Raw genomic sequence first — 15,611 nt, 5'->3', positions numbered from 1 at the left:
ATAAAAATCCTACATGTTTGATCTGCACTCCTGTTGGCCTAGTATATGTCTGAAGCCTGCTTTTATTTTTTTTTCTTCTGCACAGACAACTCTATGAGTTTTGCAATTTTATCTAGAATATTTCTAGAAGAAATAGTGCATTTTTTTTTCCAGTTTATCTTGTAGTTCACCACCATAGAGAGTTGTAATTCATGGGTGACATTAAGGATGAAAAAGGACCAGGCTATCCTTTCTTGGCTGTGTGATCTTATTCTAATTATTTAAGTAACTTAATTTACTTAAGTTAATTACTTGAGTTTTGTAGTCAGTTATAGAGACATAATAATAGTACCTTTCAGAATAAAAGTGTTATTTCCAGGATAAAATGAGGAGACATAAAATCCATAGTATGGTGAGTTTTATAAAAACTCAAAAAATGGTAAAGTAACTGTTTTCCTGATTATTTTAACTGACAATAGCTGTGTAGTCACAAGGAATCTGGAAGCTATACATTCATATGCTTTTCTTTCTCCATACCATATTTAAACAATTTTTCAATGCTGAATATAGCAAGAGACACAATATTTTCAAGGAAATTTCAGATGAATTGCAAGATATCTTATTCCCAGTTTTCGGAATGCATATTAAACATTTTAATGCCTTGGTCCTTTCTAACCCCTGATGCCTCCCATGTGGTATTAGGGATTGTTTCTCTGCACTTTATGAAATGCCTCAAGGATATTTTCCAAAAGCCAGTGATTCTCTAATGATAAATACAGATTTTCAATCAATAAACAATTTGCTAATAACCAAGATCTTAGAACTGCCACATCAGGACTGAGTTGCCTTGTTGCAGCATACCTCAAATTTTTCCACTGGATAAAGTTGCAATGCATATAGTTTATTTCTCCTGTCTTAGGCATTTTTCACTTTGAAAGTCAGTGAAATGCTTTTGAAGATAATGCGATCTTTCACCATTATTTCAAGAGTGACTGAAACCTACAGTCCAACTAATTATCTGTCCTCCCAAACTCAACGTCAAACCTTTCAGTATTCTTCTGAATGTTTTAAAATCATTTCTCTCGGTACTACTTTTCGACCTCCATCAGCAAAGTTTACTGAAGTAGTCTCAAAACAGTAGGAAAGGAGCCATATTTGTCAAGACCTAGTGCTCTATCCATATATCACATTAGCAAATTTTAAAAATTCCATTTGCAAGTAGAAAATTCTGTTGGAGAGGCATTTATAAGAGGATATTCTTTCCTATACACATTTAAATTGAAAAAGCAGAAGTGAAAAGAGTATTTCTTTCATATCTAAAGTATAGAAGAGTAGGGCACTACTAACAATAAAAAGTTATTGTTGGATATAGAATATTCAGGGTATAATATATACATGATATGTGTATATAAATATATATATATATATACACACACACACATATATTAGAGGTGGGACCAAACTCTGTATCCCAGGCTGGAGTGCAATAGCACAATCATAGCTCACTGCACCTTACAAGTCCTGGGCTCAAGGGATTCTCCCACATCAGCTTCCCAAGTAGCTAGGACTACAGGCACGGACCACTGTGTGTTTTTGTTTGTTTGTTTGTTTGTTTTGTTTTTTTGTAAAGACAGGGTCCTGGTATGTTGCCCAGGCTGATCTCAAACTCTTGGCCTCACGTGATCATCCCACTTTAGCCTACCAAAGAACTAGGAGTATAGGTGTGAGCCACCATGCACAACTAAAAATTCAGTTTTGATGTGATAAAATGAGTACACATCCAAATTACAGGGAAATGTTGTCTATTAATAGTACAATCTTTAAAAATATACCTTATAGGTAAAGAGTAACTTAGGAAAACTATAATTCAATTTATATTATCGTTTAGAATATTGCACAGTGCTCTCTCTCTTCTGACTTGATTAATTAGTAGAAGAGCGTAAAAATGGCAAGTTGCTTTCTTAGGTCATCTCTACACCAGCCATGGGAGATGTGCTGATTTTTTTGTCTGCACGTGGTAGTGAAAAAATCTGTGGCCTCTTCACTTACTTCACCCTGCCCATTTCTATCCCTAGTGAGGAATGGATACATTGGCATAATAATGCATAAAGCTGTACTTTAAAAGACAAAAAAACTGTTATTGAAAGAGAGGGGTTTATTTGTCTTGTAGACAACTACAATTTAGAAATTTTGAACCAAACAGGGTTTTAGAAGCTTGGTATCAAAGAATAAATGGAACTTGGCCTAGGGCACAATGGCTAAGGCTAAACAGAGATAATACCCTAAAGAGAGAAGAGGGAGTAGAAAAAAAGGGAAGAAACTTTTAGGTACCCTTTGGCAAATACATAGTTGGCCCTGTGAGCTGACCTCTGGAGACTGACTGAATGTGTCCATGATTGCCTGTGACTAGTTATTGAGTTATTTCTGCTGATAAGCTGAGCTCACAAACCCTCCCAATCATTGCAGCTCATGAACCAAAGCTTATAAAGTTAATAACTGGTGAATTTTCAGGTAACTTTAATCAATATGTAGAGACAAACTCAGGCTTAAATGTAAAACACTTTTGGCCAAGAATTTTGTAGGCTGTGTCCAAATATTTTAGACCATTCACAAAATGGTTCATTTTAACTGTGTCACATAACTCTGAAATTAATAGTTCTAATAACTGAAATAGGGCATAGTAGCAACAGAATATTTTATTTAATAGTTTCTGGTCCTCAAGTAAACCCATCTTCCCTAGAGAAAACTATTAAGGGTGCTGTTATTATGATAGCATAATTGAATGGTCAGAAAGGATCAGCTTCTATTAATAGGCCTGGGTAGAAATAGTCATAGGCTAAGATGAAAAACTTCATCTACACTGATCATTAATTGAAGTAAATGACAGATAATTCTAATTTTAAAAGATGGAGAGTAAAAATAATAAAGCCTAATCTAATCTAGAGCAATTGCTTATGTTGATCAGTTTCATTACATAATTACTGAGTTCTCTATTTTCTTTTGTTTGCATAGATCAGGCTTAGTTTATAAAGAAATCATAGCCTATCAGCTGGGCACAGTGGCTCATACCTGTAATCTCAGCCCTTTGGGAGGCTGAGGTGGGTAGATCACCTGAGGTCAGGAGTTCAATACCAGCCTGGTCAACATGGTGAAATGCTATCCCTACTAAAAATACAAAAATTAGCCAGGCGTGGTGATGGGTGCCTTGGGAGGCTGAGGCAGGAGAATTGCTTGAACCCCGGAGGCAGAAGCTGCAGTGAGCCAAGTTCACCCCACTGCACTCCAGCCTGGGCGACAGAGTGAGACTCCCCCTCAAAAAAAAAAAAAAAAAGAAAGAAAGAAAAAGAAATAATAGCCTATCGCCTATCTCAATAAAAATCTCTTTATAAACTGAGCTTATAGAAGTAGAATAGAACTGTGGTTATTAGAAGGTGGCTAGGAAGGGTAGAGGGAAGGGAAAGATAGGGAGCGGCTGGTTATCACATACAAAGTTACAGCTCATTTTATAGATAAAAAAGGGAAGAATAAGTTTTAGTGTTCTTAGCACTGTAGGGTAAATATGGTTAACAATAATTTAGTGTATATATTCAAAATGCTAAAAGAGGATTTTGAATGTTCACAAAGAAATGATAAATGTTCCAGGTGATGGATATGCTAATTACACTGATTTGATCATTCCACATTGTATACATATATTGAAATATCACTCTGTATCCCATAGATATGCAAAATTATTATGTATCATATAAAAATAAATGGAAAACTATTTTCATGATGTTGAGAAAATTTATGAATTAACAAGTATTTGGTCCTTCAAACTGAGTCTTCCATTATTTGTCTATTTTCCTTAGGATAGCATTTTCCCATATCTGAACATTACTGCTGCTTTAGGCCATTCAATAAAAATATTATTTCCTTCCTATAAATGTCTGTTATGATTTACTTTTATGTTGTTTTTTTAACCCCAATTTAGATTTACCCTATGGCAATGTTTTCAGCTGAAAAGGGTAACTTTACTTGGCATTATACCTGTAAGAATTACTGACGTGAAGATGTCACAGTTATAAACCAAGTGCAGCAATGATTAAAATAGAAGAATAAGAAGAAAAGGGTTAGTGTTACTGAAAAGTATGCCTTTCAAACATCTAACTCTTAATGGATACTATGCTCAAGTACTAGAATAAATTGTGTACTGTAGCACAGTAGTTGGTGTAGGAACAAACTTTGAGAATTGAAATATTATTAAAATAGTATACTCTAATAAATGAAACAGTTTTGTGACCAGAACACTTTTGGTTATTTTAATTACCAGACAAAGTATGCTATAAAAACACTTCCATGATTTTTCTTTCTAGAACAAAGACCTTTGCTGAAATGCCCTAGCCAGCAAGAAATGGTAACATTCAGATGAGAGATGACCTTCAAGCAAGTACTGGTTAGAGGTAAGCAATGGTTCTCCTGCTACAGAAGAACTCAACACAGGCAAATTGAATTAAACTAAATCGAATGGGATGGAATAGAATAATTGAATGAGAAAATATTTTCTTTTCTTATGAGTTTATCCCAATCAATATCACCAAGTATACTGTGAGAAAACACCAAGGGAATTATACAAATAATCAATCATAAATATTAAGGGGAATCCTTCTGTATCTTGCATTTTCCAAGGAAGTGTATGTGCTCTCAGAGATCACAGGGCAAACTATCATGATTCAAACTTTACTGAAAAGCAAGAGTTCACATCACAAAAGTAAATAGTTGTCAGTTTTCTAGCACACCAAACTTCATGGGTTAGACACTGTCTAAGCACAGTTACATAAGGCCACATACTAGGCAGCTTGAAACCCTCTTGCATGAAATAGTGATAAATAGGGTATCACAAAAGATAGAAGACAAAGCTTCATTTGGGGAACTATTGGCCTACAAAACAATTTGTCTTTTTTTCCTGACAGTATACATGAGAAGCTAAAGGAAACCAGAAAAATGAGAACCATTTGATTCTCTACATACAAACTACCTATGGAAGCCCAGAGAAATGACTTCTGGCTTAGTAGTTTGCAGCCACTCTCACTCCTCCAAAATTTGCAGTTTAAATTTTCACCGTCTCCAACCTCAGGTCTAAGTTCCTCAAGTAGTATAAAACATGGAAACAGTAATAGATGGAGAAAGAAAGTAAATTGAGATTCTTACTCGAGGGAATTTATAAAATTCAGTATCTATGATTCAACTGTAGCAAATGTAATTTAACTTTTTTTTTAAGTTTAATAACAGAGCAGCTTCTCTGTAAGCCACAAAGTTGGCATCTGAAAAAGTTCTGATAAACAGTTCAAGCTGTATGGAATGTCATCTCTAGTACTTCTTAATGCTCTTTATTTGGTATTTTGCATGGTGTGATGGAATCATTTCTTTTTCTTTTACCTGGCAATGTAATACTATCTGTGAATTCTCATGGGTTCTAAGAATATGAAAAATAACTTGCAAAATGATGTTTTCAGATATCTTTCTAGTCTATGTTAATATAAAATATCTCACCTTCATGTTTGAAGCTCTCCAATCAAAATGTGCAAAGAGAAGGAAGTGGTTTTAAAGTATGGGACTTTCAAGGAATGATACAGGACTGTGTGGGGCATGGCATGTAGGCTTAGGATAGTATGAGGGAAGTAAGTGTTTAGAAGTTGGAAAGAAAAGCACCATGATGTAAGAGATAAACCAACAAAAGGTATGGCGGATGCCAAGCAGAAACTGTCCATCTCCATATTTATTAAGGATCATCTTGTACCCAATAAAGTGGGTTTTTTTAAACAGATATCTTTCATTTATACCAGGTTTCAACCTACTACCTATTATGGCTTCTAATCTTGTCCATTAATTTGTGTGTTTTTGTCAATTTAATAAGTTTTATTAGCTAGTTTATAAATAGGATTTTGTGGAGCAGTTTGGAAATTCAACCATCACTGACTGTGTTGCTCCTATAAACAAATTACAGTTCAGATTAAAAAAAAAACATTTAGAACACACTCTATTTAAAAGTCAAGAGGCTGGTGGGGAGAGGAAATGGACAGTTATTGTGTAATGGATATAGAGTTTCAGTTTTGCAACATGAAAAAGAGTTCTGGAGATAAATGGCAATGATGGCTGTACCACATTAGGAATATACTTAATGTCACTGAATTGTATATTCAAAATGGTTAAGATGGTAAATTTAATGTTATGTATATTTTACCATATTAAAAACAAATTGATAAAATGAAGGTCTGAGTCTACCTAATTTAGCATATCCTTATGACTAAAATCATCTGTACTTAATTCCCAGTCAAAGGAAAGTCCCTAAAGTGTGCTTTATTTTACTATATCTGAAACTAAAAAGGACACAAAAAGTATATATGAACCACAAAAAAATCTGATGTTACAAAAAGGATCATCATACATATTGCATGCAATTTACCAATCTGGCAACACTACACTTTATCAGCTAGGGTTTCCTTTGTTTGTGTCTTCGGCTCAAAATCAAAACAAACACAGTCTTCTTAAATTCCTGGTCAGACCCTAGAATAGTAAGGTTTCATATCTATCACTTAATCTATATCTTAATTAAACCATTAAATGCTATCTCAGTGCATACAGAAATTAGCTGTGCCTTCTCTATCACCTCTTCATTTAAAAGTTTTAATCTGAAATTATAAATATTCTCCTTTTCTATAAAAATCTAATAAGTAGCCAATAAAAGCCAGAGTCTAAGATTTACAGATTCACTTCCTTCATAAAATTTGCCTTTTTCCTTCTGCCTTATAAAGTTATTTATTTAAGGATTAATCATTCCATTCCCAAAGGAGATTTCATAAATGAGTTTTCAGTGTTCTTTATCAAAAATTATTATAATTTCTTCATAGCTGCTAGAAGACAGGAAGCAATTAATGTCTCCATCACATAGAATACCAGAAGTCAATGAAAGAATTAGGATGTTTAAAGAAGAATTAGATGTTCACAGCATGTTATATTGCAGATAAAAAAAAATCATATTGCTACCTTCTAGTTTGATGTTCTGGCCCATGTAATTAGAACCTCTCCTCCCCCAGAATTATTCTCCCTTTATCATGACATCACTTCATTGAGGGAACCTTCCTTGGTGTCTTTATGCTGGACTACATGCCCCTCTTAAACATTCCAATAACCTCCTATATATCCTAACTATGGCAATTAGCATATTCATTATAATCATATATTTAATTATCTGTCTTTTTTCTCAAAACTCTGAAAAGGTATTGATTCTACACTCTTCTTGGTTTTAGTTTCAGGTCCTACCATATTGGCTAGCATGTTATTAGGATTAAATACATTATGAAAAGAAAATAATTACTGTGTTTAGGTCATTATTCTAAGCCTTTTACATTTGTTAAATTCTCAAATCAACCCTATGACCTAAGTACTATTGTTATCCAATTTTATAGGTAAAGAAACTGAAGCACAAACAAGTTGGGTAAGCTGCACAAGTTTACAAAGATAGTAAGTAGCTCTGGTGACTATGCATAAAATCATGCTAAACCAAATAAATAGAATAATTAGAGCTGAAAAATACCCCACACACCAATTTCTGGGTGACTTAAAATTCTAAGACATGAAAGGCCATATGGAAAGAAAAACTATTCTTTGCTTTCCCCCAATTTTTTTTTTTTTTTTTGAGATGAGGTCTTACTCTGTCACTCAGGCTGGAGTGCAGTGGCATGATGTTGGCTCACTACAGCCTTTGCCTCCCAGGTTCAAGTGATTCTTCTGCCTCAGCCTCTTGGGTAGCTGGGATTACAGGTGTGCACCACCACGCCTGGCTAATTTTTATATTTCTTGTAGACATGGGGTTTCGCCATGTTGGCCAGGCTGGTCTCAAACTCTTGACCTCAAGTAATCTGACCACCTCGGCCTCCCAAAGTGTTGGGATTACAGGCGTGAGCTCACTGCGCCTAGCCCATGCTTTATATTAAACTAGCAAAATACCTTTGTTGATGAATAAAATTAAGAGATTTGTATTATCACCATGCAACCAAAGATAACCAGTTCACATTTGGGTACCAATTCTTCAAAACTACTTTTTTTTCTTTTTAAAATTATTTTACTTTAAGTTCTGGGATACCTGTGCAGAATGTGCAGGTTTGTTACATATGTATACATGTGCCATGGTGGTTTCCTGCACGTATCATCTAGCTTTTAAGCCCAGCATGCATTAGATATTTGTCCTAATGCTCTTCCTCCCCCTGCCCCTCTACCCCCCGACAGACCCTGTTGTGTGATGTTCCCGTCCCTGTGTCCATGTGTTCTCATTGTTCAACTCCCACTTATGAGTGATAACATGTGATGCCAAACTACTTTCTATACAAACAAAAAAAAATTGATACAAAAAAGGGGATCATACTTCTTTTCTTTCTTTTCTTTTCTTTTTTGTTTTGAAACAGGGTCTCACTCTGCCTCCCAGGCTGGACTGCAGTGATGCAATCACAGCTCACTGCAGCCTCAATATCCCAGGCTCAAGCAATCCTCCCGCCTCAGCTTCCTGAGTAGTTGGGACTACAGGTGCATGCCAACACGCCCCGCTATTTTTCTTTTCTTTTTTTGGTATGTTTTGTAGAGACGGGGTTTTGTCATGTTACCCATGCTGGTCTTGAACTCCTGGGCTCAAGTGATCTACCCACCTCGGCCTCCCAAAATGCTGGGATTTCAGGCATGAGATTACATTTCTATGTACTCTTTAATAATCCGTTTTTGTCATTTAACATTATATTGTAGGCATTTTTCCACAAGAGATAAAAAGCTTCATCATCATTTTTAATAGTTGGACGATAAAATTTTCTTTAAATGCATTGTTCCAGTATCATCTATGTGTTCCAGTAAGTCAGCATAAAGATATAAAAACTTAAAGCTGATCTGAAAAGTACAGGTGCTAGGTGAAAGATCGAAATACGAGATAGGGGAATGCTACTGACAGGATATAAACAAGAGACAAGACAGAAAGAAGTTAAGGTTTTAATGGCCACTGACAACCATAGAAGAGGTGTAACTCTGGTGGTAGATACAAAGAAAGAGGTTAGGAGAGTGCAGATATATTATTTTTATGACCAGGTTCACAAGCATGCATTGATTAATTAGTTTCACTGAATATTCCCAGTAGATGCGAAAGAGCCAAATGGATATTAGGATACCTTTGAGAAAACTTGACACTGGTTAAATACAGTTGGTTATTTAAACCTGTAAGGTAAAACCTTTGGCACCTTTTGTTTTCTTCTCAAAATGGTTGCGTTTTTCTAGTTTAGAAATTGCATCAAGAATGTCCTGGCATTCAGACTAATGCATAGAAGAGCCTAGATCAAGGATGGTTAGCTACAACTGAAAATATGAGAAGAAGAAGGAATGATTGCATTATTTTCCAAATGTAAGCAAATTTATAACTTATTTCAAACTCATATTTGAATGTGTCAGGCACAAATGAACAAGGTAATAGAGACATGCCTTGACAGGGAGCAAGAAGGGAAGATACAGGGTACACTTGCATGACAATGCACATTTTCCTGGGACAGCACAAGCATGGCACTTAAACTGTACATAAAACACTTTTACAAGCAGATCTCTTTCCAAGGAAATGAAAAGACATACTTAATCTGTAGGGAAATAAAACTTCCTGGGGTGAGGCCTCAGACAATTGGTTTTAAAGGTTCATTCTTTTTCAATTGTGGTATTTGGTTTTAACGAGGCACTTGAAACACTTCGATTTACCCCTTGGCCACTTTAAAACCTTGTTTGAATTCCCATCTGTCCTTAATAGGGTTCTTAGAAAAGAGAGATCCTCCATTTTCATGAAAGTCAGCCACGTAAAGGAGTTCAAGCCTCATGAAGAAGATAATTCCTGGATCACTAAGAAAGTACTTGTAGCATAGGTGGATGAAGTCTCCCAAGATCTATGATAATCAGGAGCCAAGTTCTTAAATTTAGGATGGACCAAGTTTGGTTGATATCTTCTTCAAAGTCTGTGTTTGCAAATGGAAGCACAGAGGTAATTATTTTGCATATATTTCACACCTCTTCTCTCTTCTAAAATGTTCAATACTGCCCTTCTTCACTTCACTCCTACCTCTTATTACGTTGAGGAAATAAAAACAAAATCAGAGTATAGTCACCACAGAGGCCTAACAACCTCCCTTCATCTATAGTCCAGCAAATGAATTGTCCTGGTTTCTAAATTTTGAATCTCTTCACTTGCATACTAATCCCAATCCTCTTTCACACCTGTAGTACTTTGGCTCCTGCAGTATTCTCTTTTTTGTCTCAATCAACTTCTCTCTCCGGAGAGGACCATTTCTATGTTTATGTGAGCCAGTATTCCTGTATTCTAAAGAGCATGGGAAATAACTGGGTTTGAAATCCTGGCCTCGCCCTTTAGTAGCTCCATTGAGTCCATTACTAACACTTTTTGTGAGTCAATTTTATCTGTAAAATAAGAGGTTCTTATGAATATTATGAATTAAATAAATTGGTACTTGTAAAACACTTAGAACACATTCTAGTATGTGCTAAGCTATATAAGCATTAGCTAATTTTATTATTGGCATAGAAATATACCCCAGTATTTTCCATATTTTAAAAAGATCATCTTTAGACATTGGTCACCTTCCGTCTACAGCTCTGTTTACTGATTATCTTCGTAACAAACTCTTCAAAGTAGTCTCTTATATCACCGCTCCCTCCCTCCCCTCTTGGTCTTCCAATCAAGTATGACTCCCCCACAAGACTCCACTGCATCAGCTCTCAGGTAATCTCACCAGTGGCCTTCATATTGCCAAAGGGAGTCAGTAAAACTGTGCTATTATTTTCTTACTAACAAGGATAGAGTAATTTCAGCCAACATCTAGGTTACATTAAAAGCAGTACAAACAGAATATTTTCTAGGATCACACAAATCAAGTTCACTTTAACAGTTAGAACCGAAGCCTGTTGGATCAACAGTTCTCACACACTAGCACAGCACCTCATCTCTCTTCTGTATAGTATAGCTGTGAAATCTCTAGCGTGGGGCTGTCATATATGGTCTGCCCACAATCTCTTTTCATTTCTTTCCACCTGCCTGCTGCTGTCTTGCAATCTCACTGATTCTCTCAACCAGGACTCACCTTCACTCTGCTTGCCTCTGCTGATGTTGCCTGTGCTAGACTTTGACACTTAGGGCAAATTTATTATCCAAATCAGGACACTATTGAGAGTGAAAAAGGCTGCCTTAGAGCAACTTCCCAGGAAGTGGAGCCCACCTAAAATAAGGATTCATGTGGACATAATTCATCAAGGGAGTGTTCTTCAGGTAAAACTATACCATTGACTGTGACTCACTCCTGAAGGGCCTCTTTCTGAAAGCTGAGATAATTCCGCTTGCATGTATGTGTGTGTTGTACAGAAAGGGGCTGATGTGATGTCAGCTGTAAGTCATCAGCAGTCTACACACCAATTGAGATATGGGTACACCAGGCTATAAAATAATCTGAGTGAGTCACTAATAGCACCTAATGTACAGAAGTACAGAAGTACCATTGATAATTATGCCAGGACCATCTCATGCAAACCAGGACATTTGGTCAGTCTTTTATCCCTTTTACTCACATCACCACCCATGCTGTGGCTCTCCTCTGCTTTAAGTCTTCGATGGTTCCTATGGTCATTGGGGATCATGGCCACACCCACCGAGGATCACTACATGGACTCCCTCAGGCTGCTGCTCCATGCCTCTGTCACTGACCACCACTCTCTGCACAGACTACTTCATGAGCTGCAAGCTGCTTCTTCTACACAGCAGATGGTGGAATGCAACTCAGAAATCTTTGCCTTCATGACTTGCCTTTGGGTCTCTGCCTCTGAGTCAACTCTTGCCTATGGCTCCCAGAACTCTTTACCATCAAAGTCCACCTGTAAATCTTTGGTGCTTTTTGTGGAATCCTCACTGCCTCTCAAAAATGTCCTATTTTGGGCAATAAATCCTAATTTTGCCGCACTGGAAATCCTGGTGTTTCATATTCAGCACTCTTCTACAGGGCACACAGGAACTGCATAGAGGCCTTGGGAAAAGTGAGTTCAAATGCAGCCTGTCACTGTCCTCAGAGTCACTGACCCCTACAAATCAGGCTATGTTACCAAATCCAGTTGGACTGATGAGACTATTTATCCCTTCACATTCTCTCAAAGATCTCACAGCACTCTCTGTAGTTTAGATTTATTTGGGCCCTCTCCAAAGGTCAGCAGATATTTAAATGTACTCTGATCCTGAAGTGTGTACAAGTTATTTATGAAAAGACTCAAAGTCTTTTGCAAATAAATGCATAGAGCTGGAACTATATACCAGGACATTTTGCCTAAGTCCAAATATAAATTTTAATTATGTTTTTACTATGAACTAGACAGACTCTTAGATACAAAACGACATTGTAAAGTATGGAGATTTGCAACTTTCATTGTATTTGTGCCTGAACATGATGATCCTAAAGTTCACTCGAAGAAATGCCTCTCAGTAGAATAAAAGAACATCTCTTGTGGTATTTAAATGGATATCAGTTTCTTCCCATTTTCATATAAAAGCTCAGAGGGTTATCTGGAATTCACTTCACATCACTGTGCACCAATATGCTAATACCCTGCATAATTACTTAGCCTCATTTGTACATGAATGGTCACATATAATAGATGTTCTGAGTAAGAAAGTAAAAGTCAATATGAGTTTGAACATCTGGGAACGGAGTTAAGTCCAGTAGATCTTATTATGTAATGTTCTTATTTAGATACTTCTCAAGTCTTAGGCAATTACTTAATAGTGGAGTGATAAGAACAAAGAGCACTTGGATACAGATTTGCTTGCAGGAGAGAGCACCATCCCCCATAAGACAATGGGTATACATTAGGTACATGCCCTTGTATCAAGCAAGACTCAGTATTTCTAAACATGTAGTTCCAATATATATTTTATAATTATAATGTATATTTTATTTAGAGAAATCAAATTATAATTTGCACTGAAGGCATGTCTGATATGGTCATCAAATTATAACCAGTATGTTCTGAAGATCAGTAAAAAGCTAGAAATTAGCAGATATGTGAGTTATTGCCTGTAGTTAAATTACAAAGAATGTTAAGTATACTATAAAGTGTTACTTACGTAGTTACTGGTAGCCTTTAACAAAATGAGCTTCATTGTTAAGATTTATTAACTGTATTCAGCCTGGATGGTCATTCAGTTCAAACTTTAAAAGCTTTCAAGGTATCAAGTAGCAGTCTGGTTTTAATATAAGTAACAAAGTAATCATAAGAAAGACTGAATAGTTGGATTTCAGGAAATTTGCCCATCTTGGGTTAATTTTTAATGGCCTTATCAGAGGCGTAGTTCAAGTCTATAACTTGGAGGGTTAAGACAGAATTATTCCCTGAAGTGAAAGGGTATTCCCACTGTCAATCATCCCAAGTAGTGGTTAATCCTGGGGTAGATTGTCAGCCACAAACCTGAACTGAGATGGAGGACGGTCTTTCTCCCAGGGCCTGGAGCTAGAGGAGAATAAACTTCAAGTCTGGAAAGGCCTACAGTGATTCCTGGAGTGGAATGGCATTCTCCAGTCATGTAGGGCCAGTATGGAAGAGAGTAGGGGCAGTGGGTTTCTGCTGTTTGCCAATAGCAGGATAGAGTGAGGTTGCCATTAGCAGTCATGGCAGAGCAGTGCAGGGCCTGGCTTCCAGAAGCAGCCAACATCTGTGCAGCAGTTAAGAGTAGACAAACTGACCTTGGAACAGGTTCATGAGCGCAACCACACCTGAGATAGGTATGGTGGAAGTAGTAGAAGCATTAGCGCAAACAGCTTTGCCCAGCAAAGCTCCTGCTTCACAAGTATCTTCGGCAACAGGGGTGGCTGACTAGTGGTAAGAAAACTGCCCAAGTAAAAAAATTTGAGGCTCTTGCTTTGGAGTCATGTGGTGCAGAACTGTCTGGAAGAAAACTCTCAGAAACATGTGGAAAACCTTTTATGCAGGAGTAATTTCTAGAAAGGAAGTACATGGCTTGGGTCTTACGCCATTATTATTTGACTGAATAAAGAAGTATAACGTTATTTGTAGTCATAGGTTGGTGAGGACAAGGAAAGGTGGGACACATAGAAAAATAAGGTATTTCTACTTGTGATCTTGTTGTCTAGTGTGTCTACAAGTCCTAATTAACACTTTGAAGGATATTTCTTAAAAATTGGAAAGGTAAGCAATTCATTTTTAAGAGTAAATTTATACTCAATTTTAGAAGGAAAACTTGAGAAAATGATGCTAAGTTTATGGACAATCAATTGAACCAAAATTAAAACTTAGAAAAAAATAAAAGTGATGATAAGCTTGACTTTTATTGTCAAGATTAACCAGTTATATTTATCAGGCACTGATTAATTGAAAAAGTTTCTGTATCTTTTATTTCAAACATGGTTTTCTTATTTTAGAGATGAAATACACTTTTCCATTGTTCTGTCACTGTGCGTCAAACCACGAGCGCTCAAATATTTCTTGTTTTTGCTTGAAGAATAATTTCTAGTATTTAAAAACTATTGTACTTTATGTTTGCTCATAATTATTTTATTTCATTTTATAATTACCCTGTGATCATTTCATTGTTATTATAATTATTCTTAGAATAATTATTTTTTTACATATAAAAAAGAGTCTAATAAATTAAGATTTCTCCAAGATTTTTAAATTACTGAAACTTAGAGGCAGAATATAAGTATTATAAATCGTTGCTTTGTTTTGCAAAATATTTCAGAGTGTTACTTTTTAGAAATAGTCTTCCCCTAATATACTAAAAGCAGATTAAAATGGCCAAAACTCATTATATGTTTTGGGGTACATCTTGTTTACATAGTGTGGGGATAGTTGTACTTGCATAATTCTTTCCATTTGAAAATATCTTTTAAATGGCAGGACTCTATTTAGCTGCAAATATTTAGAGGAAAAGCATACATGTGCCATACACAAACAGAGAAGTTTGTCTCTCTGATTGTGTATGACAGCAAAAGTAATTTTTGATCAAATTTTAGTAAAGTTTAACTATCAAAATTATGTAGAATTAAAAATGAATTTTTTTCTTTCTTTTCTTCTTTTTTTTTCTTCATGGAATTACCTCCAACAGATTCCATTTAAGCTGAAGCTCTGCATACAAAGCAAAATGGAGAATTGGAGCAGAAGAGAGTACTTTAAACTAAGTTTTCTTCAAAATAGTCTCAAAATTGTGGTCAAAATGTTTTTTTTTAATTATTGTACTTCAAGTTCTGGGATACCTATGCAGAACGTGCAGGTTTGTTACATAGGTATACATGTGCCATGGTGGTTTGCTGCACCCATCAACCTATCAATCCATCATCTACATTAGGTATTTCTCCTAATGCTATCCATCCCCTTGTCTTCCACCCTGCAACACGCCCTGGTGCATGATGTTCCCCTCCCTATGTCCCTGTGTTCTCATGTCAACTCTCACTTATGAGTGATAACATGGTGTTTGTTTTTCGGTTCCTGTGTTAGTTTGCTGAGAATGATGGTTTCCAGCTTCATCCATGTCCCTGCAAAGGACACGGATTAATTCTTTTTTATGA

The 15,611-nt window shown here is 36.1% G+C and overlaps 1 long non-coding RNA gene across 1 annotated transcript in view; it reads left to right on the top strand.

Moving 5' to 3' along the window:
* The window catches only part of LOC105374016 (uncharacterized), a 137,553-nt gene extending 122,246 nt beyond the window's left edge, over nt 1-15,307 (top strand). Inside the window, exons 11-14 of the long non-coding RNA XR_001740824.2 lie at nt 4,335-4,421; nt 7,428-7,482; nt 9,274-9,397; nt 15,152-15,307. This is a non-coding gene — a long non-coding RNA (uncharacterized LOC105374016). The remainder of the gene's footprint in view (nt 1-4,334; nt 4,422-7,427; nt 7,483-9,273; nt 9,398-15,151) is intronic.
* Nucleotides 15,308-15,611: the final 304 nt, after the last annotated feature.

The sequence above is a fragment of the Homo sapiens genome, chromosome 3 (genome assembly GCF_000001405.40).
Source record: "Homo sapiens chromosome 3, GRCh38.p14 Primary Assembly".
Classification (NCBI taxonomy): domain Eukaryota; kingdom Metazoa; phylum Chordata; class Mammalia; order Primates; family Hominidae; genus Homo; species Homo sapiens.
This window is presented reverse-complemented; position numbering and strand designations above follow the sequence as displayed.